This window comes from Homo sapiens, chromosome 4 (assembly GCF_000001405.40).
Source record: "Homo sapiens chromosome 4, GRCh38.p14 Primary Assembly".
Classification (NCBI taxonomy): Eukaryota; Metazoa; Chordata; class Mammalia; order Primates; family Hominidae; genus Homo; species Homo sapiens.
The window spans coordinates 74915870-74923697 of record NC_000004.12 but is presented as its reverse complement, the minus strand read 5'-3'; the positions used below and the strand labels follow the sequence as shown (position 1 = coordinate 74923697).

Below are 7828 nucleotides of genomic sequence, written 5' to 3'. Positions count from 1 at the left end.
TTATTGGTACCAAATAATGTCAATTATTTTATTTCCTTCCTTCCTTCCTACCGTCTTTCCTTCCTTTCTTCCTTCCTTCCTTCCTTCCTTCCTTCCCTCCTTCCTTCCTTCTTTCCTTCTCTTCTTCCTTTCTTTTGTTTGTTTTTATTTTTCTTTTTATTTTTTTTGAGACAGGGTCTTGCTCTGTCTCCCAGGATCCAGGATGGAGTGCAGTGGCATGATCATGGCTCACTGTAGCCTCGAACTTCCTGCTTCAGCCTCCTGAGTAGCTGGAACTACAGGTGTGTATCATCATGCCTAGCTAATTTTTTTTTTTAATGTTTTATAGGGATGGGGTCTCTGTGTGCTGCCCAGGCTGGTCTTGAATTCCTGGGCTCGAGCAATCCTTCAGACTCAGCCTCCCAAAGTGCTGGGATTACAGGTGTGAGTCACTGCACCTGGCCAAATTTGTTTTGTTTGACATGACATGCTAACTTCATAGAGAAAATGTCTCACAAATACTGAAGCCTAAATAACCATAGTTTGTCTGTTAATAATGTTTTCAAATGAAAATAGTGTTTCATAAAAAAGTGGCTAGGTTAGCTTTCAATTCATCACATACATACATTTCCTTGGAACAACCACTTACTTTGGTATTCAGCAAAAATGCTTTATGCATACTTTTCATTCATTTATATGAAAAAGATGTGTGTTCAAGATCAAGATTTTATAAAAATTAAGAATTTTTGCTGCTTCATTAAGGACATTCATAAGGACATGAATGGTGGTAATACAATGACTACTAGTATAGTTTGGTGCCACTGCCTACATTTGTGTTAAAGCACCAGAAGTTTTATCCACAATTGCTTTTGTAGCATCAATGGAAAAATCAAAATGCAAAAAAAGAGATAAATAACATCTTAGTAATATTATGAAAATAGCTTTGACTCCACAGATGTAAAAGGATCAGACTCCTAGGAGTTTGTGAACCACACTTTGAGAACTGCTGGCCTAGAGAAATATCTTAGAAAATTGTGAAGGACATTAACTGTTTCAACTGCCTAGAGTATCCCTTTCTTCAGGTAAGTGTTCTTTCCTCTGCTTTAAGCAACTAGTTTCAATGGCGGTGGCTATTTTCCTATGGAGGCTGCCTCCTACCCTATGGGTGACTGGTATAGGGTAGACACCAGCCTCTTTATATTCAGTATACTTTCTCAGAATTCTTAAACTTGGAACCAGAAAATGTCACTAATAGTTGCTCTCTGGGAACAAAGTTATGAAGTTCTGGCATTTTGGTGAACCACCCAAGCATGTAGAAAAAGCTAGTCTAAAATAGGATAGATAAACCCAACTCTCAGAGAGAACCAGAAATGGGAGAAGGCTTGGTAGCATTCCAGTCCCTGGTTCCACTTGTCCTTGAGGCTCGACCACATTCTTGCCCTTCCTGCTACTCTGTAAGCATTTTGATAAATTTCCCTTGCCTCTAAACACTTTATATTTTCACAAACTTTATGAGTTTGTCCAACTGTCTTTTTTTCTGAACACTTTTGCTAGCATCAGTTGTTACACAGTTTAGTAGATTCCACTTCAGATTACGCTGAATTTGAGTTTTCTCGACTTTGAAAATATTCTTGACTGCAGTTTTACTCAGACCATTCATAGAGGCTATGAATTCATGTTATTCACTTCAAAGTCAGTATTAAATTATCAAATAAACATCAACAACTGAATAGTGTTTGGTAACAACTGTCAACTCATCAAGAGCCAAAGAAAAACACTAGAAATTATTTTCCTTCTTTCTTAATTTATCCAAAATTGACTCCCAACATCCTCAACTTATTAAGCAACTGTTCTCACAGAAAGATTAATAATCTAAACAAGTTTACTTTCTTTGTACATCTTTTTTTTGCTGTTATTGTTGCTACAATTGAATAAAATATAATTAACTTGCACCTGGTAAATGGCTTTTCTTGCTTGACTAAAAACCAAACTACTTGGAAACTTACTTTGGTTGAAGATTCATTTCAGACTTTTGTGGGAAAAATCTACTGAGATATTTTGTTTTGAAGTTTCAAATTTTTCTGACTCAGGGAGTATTGTACATCAAAGATAGTGTGGCAATTATTTAGTCTGGTACTGTAGACCTATGTTGTATTCTTCTAAAGTAGCAATGACATAATAACATGTATAAAACACAATGCTTACAATTGATTTAGATAACAAAATAATCTACTTTCCATTCTATTTTTAAAATGTGATATTCAAAATCTGTTTTTCTCTTCATTTTCTTGTTTGTTTTATTTTGGCAAGATGCGTATGCAATAACAATAAAAAAATAAGATAAAACGCAGTGGTATGTGCTGAATGTGTCCTCTAAAGAGCATGTATTGAAATTTCAATTCTTAATGCATTGTGTTGGGAGATGGGGCTTAATGAGAGATGATTAGGCCAGGGGGGTGAAGTGAATGAAGTAATATTATTATCATGAGAGTAGGTTTGATATAAAAGATCAACCCCTTTCTCTCTGTTGTGCCCACCTTTGCCCTTAGCCGTGAGATGACACAACAAGAAGGCCTTCACACAATGCCAGCCCCTTGATCTTGGCCTAAGTCTCCAGAAACATGTGCTAATAAATTCATGCTCATTATAATTTATGCAGTGTCTGGTATTTTGTTATAGTAGCACAAAACAAAGACAGGCAATACGTGTGACACTCAAAATGCTTCCAACCTATGCATTTTTCACTGTGATTTGTAGTGCACCAAGAAGCAGTGTGAAGCCATGAAAGTGCCACAGTCTCTGTCACAACTACTCAACGCTAACACTGCTGTTGTATGAAATTTGCCACAAGCAATAAAGAAATGACTGTAGCTCTGTTTCAATACAATTTTTGTTACAGAATCTGAAATTTGAATTTCAAATCATTTTCAGGTGTCTTTAAATATTCTTTTGCGTTTTTCCAACCATTCTGAGGTCACAGGTTATACAAAAACAGATTTGGCCTGCTGGCCATAGTTTATCTACCCATGCTCTAGAGATTTCCATTTGATTTTGCTACATGTTCTGGATTAGTTCAATCCTGTAACAACTTCAAATTATTAGCTTGGGGTTTCTTGAGCTAGTTAGTGTATATTCAAACTCCAAATCCATGTGATATTAGGGCTATGATTCTGATTTATGAGATAGACTATTTTCCGTATTTGTTTTGTTTCCTTTTTCACTATGGAGCTGAGCTGAGGTTTTTACAAATTACCTTCTATGTCTCCTTTTACCATCAGGCATATTTTTTTCCTAACATAGCTTTTCATTTAAGCTCTAGCTACTTTTCAAAGGCCCTGACTTTATGCAAGTTCAGTTCCAATATTCCAACTTATTGAAGCCAAGTAAGTCCTTATCTTTTGTGTCTCATGTGGCCATTAAACCTAGGGCATCTACTGCTTCAGCAACTGCTGGATACTCTAATTACAGCTCCATTCCCTGCTTTTTGGTTGCCCTAAAAATTTCCCTTGATTGTTTTCAAGTGTTTCTGTTTATTTATAAAAACTAATAGTTTATCCAGCACTTTAAAGATCTTTTGTAGGAGTAGGTATGGTTTTTCAGAATAACTAAGCCTCTATATTTATAGAAGTGAAAGTCCCTTGTATTTTCTTAGTTCTGTTTTTTCTTTTTCTTTTTTTGTTTTTCATTTACTTTCTCTAACTCAATTTCTAATTTAAGCTTCCCATCTCATTACACTGGTTGAAAACTAACCTTAGTTATTATAAGTTACTCCTATCTTTCTGGATTTTTTATTAACCGTAGCGGCAGAATCTTACGCAATGCTAAAATCTGGAGTTTAAGTGACAGCATTTGGTTATCGAGTCATCTGTTCATTCTGAAACGCTGTTTACTTCTGAGAATAAGTTATTCTCTGTAATACGGCTCTTCAGATCCAAGGGCTGTCTGCTAGGGTTCGAGTATAGAATTCTTTGCAAAGTTGCCTAGATTCCCACCAGTCATTTTATTGCTGAAGTATTCCAACTGCTATAGGGGCTATGCTTACAAAGTAGGTCACAGATCTCCTTTGCATTTACACCCTGAGAACTCTCTGTTCTCACTATTCAACCTATCCTTATAACATCGGGGATTTCTTGTTTTGGGGAAATCATATTCCTATCATGATTCTGGCTTAAATATGCTGTCTATAACCTAATTTTCTCCCAGCTTTAAGAATTAGCTGTTTAGAAACAAAGGCCTGGAAGATTTCCAAGCAATTTCTGATATTTTGCTATTCCACAACTCTTTCCTCCCTGCCCCTCTCCTCCAAGCTGGCAGTGAGAACTGAATCAATTTGTTTGGATGGAGACAGGATAAGAAAAAAGTACATCAATGTTTTAAAAAGTATTTTAGCTTAAAATAGTTTTCTGCTACACGTTTGAAAGGTAATGATAATCATTCTGACAAAAGCTGAGGGTGCTTGAAATAGGTCAGTGGCAGTCAAGATAGAGAGAAAAAAACAGATTTGAGATACATTTTAAGGTTAAAAGCAACAGGACTATTAACTAATGGCACGATGTGCAGTTGAGGGAGAGGCAAGAATCAAGTATGACTTCCAGATCATGCTGGACCAATTCTGGAGCTTTATTTATTGAGCTGTGGAATTCTGTGGAAATAAAGTATTTCGAGAACCCCTTTATATCCATTTTCCTACTTGAATTAGAATCATATTCTAAATGATTCAATAAATAGAGCGAATAACAGTTAAAGATGTAAATAACTAACGCTTATTCCTACCTTCTACCATCATTGATCCTCTACAAAATTCCATTGAGCACTCAGTTTATATTTCAACTCTGGAAGATTTTGAAATGGATGAAAGAAATTATTAAATACCCTTTAACTGAAGGCATGCCAGTGTGCACTTTTGCTTTTACTAAACTATTTTACAACTTTGTAGAGTTGTAAACCTGTAGAAAATTCATAGTAATATAAATTATTTTAGTCTAAGATATGCAAATTTTGTGCAGTGGAGTACAATTAATTATCACCCTGTGGATAATGACTAGATTTTACCAATTTTGCATCCATTTGTAAGCTTATTTCAGCATTTCTTCTCTGCCTACAAATGTATATTTCATGTTCTTTGAAGCACTTGTAATATCTCACTGGTTGCCTCATTTAACCAAGGAGTTAAATAAAACCCTTGACATGTATTATTGTTATTTTTTTGAGACAGGGTCTCACTTTGTTGCTCAGGCTGGAGTGCGGTGGTGCGATTATGGCTCACTGCAGCTGTGACCTTCCAGGCTCAAGAGATTCTCCTTTCTCAGCCTCTCAAGTGGCAGGGACCACAGATGTGGGGTACCACACTGGCTAATTTTTACTAACAGTTTTGTAAAGATGAGGTCTCACCATGTTGCTCAGGCTGGGTTTGAACTCCAGCTCAAGTGATCCTCCTGGACTGTATTCATTTTTCTTTTAGTTTAGCTATTATTAGTTTATTACAAAAGAGAGACGTAGAACTTATGTACATAATGAAAGATTTCAGAACTTTAGTGGAATGGGCAGCTTCACTATTATGCCATTTCAATGGTGATTTATTTCAGTCTGCATACTTTCCAAGAAAGTCACCATCTCTAAACCATCTCTAAATAAGAAATAATCCTTGTCTAAAGCACTTTGGTGCTTCCATATTCTGGGAAAATAACTTTATCTCCAACTTGGATGCTAACTGGTTGAATCTCTCCACCCTTTCTTTTAGAGACCAATCTAACAGCTACTACTGATGCATGTAATACTTTTCTTTGACATTTGTTCTGGAAGCATCATGCCTCCTTTGGCTACAGTTTCAGCTGCAGTTCTTTCAACAAATACTCGGTCAAAGAGAGAAATAAACTTTCAAATGTTTGTTCTGCCAAGACTCCTGCATCAAAGCTCGTACTCTACATTCCTACTGCAGCTGCAAGAAAAGATCTGAAGTCAGGTTCTTGGGACAGGTAAAAAGGCCAGCCAGCCCTGCCCTCTGAAGTGAATTCAATTTTTGAATCATGATTTTTTTTCTCTAAAAACTGTTTTTGACAGATTAATCATAGTTTAAGATATGAATATCTTCTGTCTAAATTCCATTTAGAACAATAGAATTTTATATTAGGGTGGGCAAAAATTGTGAAGATTTTATTGTTTAATTTCTCATTTCACAGAGTGGTTAAGTGATATGTCCAAAATTATAGTTAACTATGTTCAGATTAAAATTCATACTTAGCTCAAACAATGACTAGTTCAGTACTCTTTTCAGTACACTCTTTAATTTAATGTAATTTCTTCTCCTTGCCTTTGTGAGTTTAGGTAATACATAAAGAAGTAGTAAGCCAGGCATGGTGGCTCACACCTGTAATCCCATCACATTGGGAGGCTGAGGCAGGTGGATCACCTGAGGTCAGGAGTTTGAGACTAGCCTGGCCAACATGGTGAAACCCTGTCTCTACTAAAAATACAAAAATTAGCCAGGCGTGGTGGCACACACCTCTAGTCCCAGCTACTTGGGAGGCTGAGGCAGGGGAATCGCTTGAACCCGGGAGGTGGAGGTTGCAGTGAGCCGAGATTGTGCCACTGCACTCCAGCCTGGGTGACAGAGTGAGACCCCATGTCAAAAAAAAAAAAAAAAAAAGTAGTAGACCAGTTGCTTCAGAAAAACAAATTTAAGCTCTAATAACTTTATGTGTGTGTCTTCAGAACAAATTATGTATTTGAAAAGCACAGGAAAAGTTTAACTTTGAGGCTGAGAAAAACAAAACCAAACCAGCAGATCGAATAATACATTTTCATTGTAGGAAAACACTTACTGTTAACAGGGCTAACACAACAGGTTTAGAGACTCTAAATTCTGTCAATATGACCTTTTTCTTGGTTGTTTTTGAGCAAAAAAAAATCTATTAGAGTTATAAATGCTGACATTTTTACAGTTAATTTACAAATTTTATTCTACTTGTCAGTCAAATTTCAGTAATTTTTAAAGTTTTTGGATAATATTTAGACCCATATACAGAGCAAGTTAAACATATTAGGACATTTAAAACTGTAATATTGGAAAAGAGAAGATGGCTGAATAGGAACAGCTCCAGTCTGCAGCTCCCAGCGAGATCAATGCAGAAAGTGGGTGTTTTCTGCATTTCCAACTGAGGTACCTGGCTCATCTCATTGGGATTGGTTAGACAGTGGGTGCAGCCCATGGAGGGTGAATTGAAGCAGGGTGTGGTGTCACCTCACCTAGGAAGTGCAAGGGGTTGGGGAACTCCCTCCCCTAGCCAAGGGAAGCCATGAGGGACTGTGGCATGAGGAACAGTGCATTCTGGCCCAGATACTATACTTTTCCCACTGTCTTTGCAACCTGCAGACCAGGAGATTCCCTCGGGTGCCAACATGACCAGGACCCTGGGTTTCAAGCACAAAACTGGCAGCTGTTTGGGCAGACACTGAGCTAGCTGCAGGAGCTTTTTTTTCCATACCCCAGTGGCGCTTGGAACACCAGCGAGACAGAACCGTTCACTCCACTGGAAAGGGCTGAAGCCAGGAAGCCAAGTGGTCTAGCTCAGCAGATCCCACCTTCATGGAGCCCAGCAAGCTAAAATCCACTGGCTTGAAATTCTCACTGCCAGCACAGCATTCTGAAGTCGACCTGTGGTGCTCAAGCTTGGTGGGGGCAGGAGGGTCCACCATTACTGGGGCTTGAGTAGGTGGTTTTCCCCTCACAATGTAAACAAAGCTGCTGGAAAGAGTGAACTTGGTGGAGCCTACTGCAGCTAGGCAAATCTGCAGTAGCCAGGCTGCCTCTCTAGATTCCTCCTCTCTGGACAGGGCATCTCTGAAAGAA

The 7828-nt window shown here is 37.8% G+C and overlaps 1 pseudogene; it reads right to left on the bottom strand.

Annotated features, from left to right (window-relative positions):
• Positions 5442 to 5930, bottom strand: HSPE1P23 (heat shock protein family E (Hsp10) member 1 pseudogene 23; annotated as a pseudogene).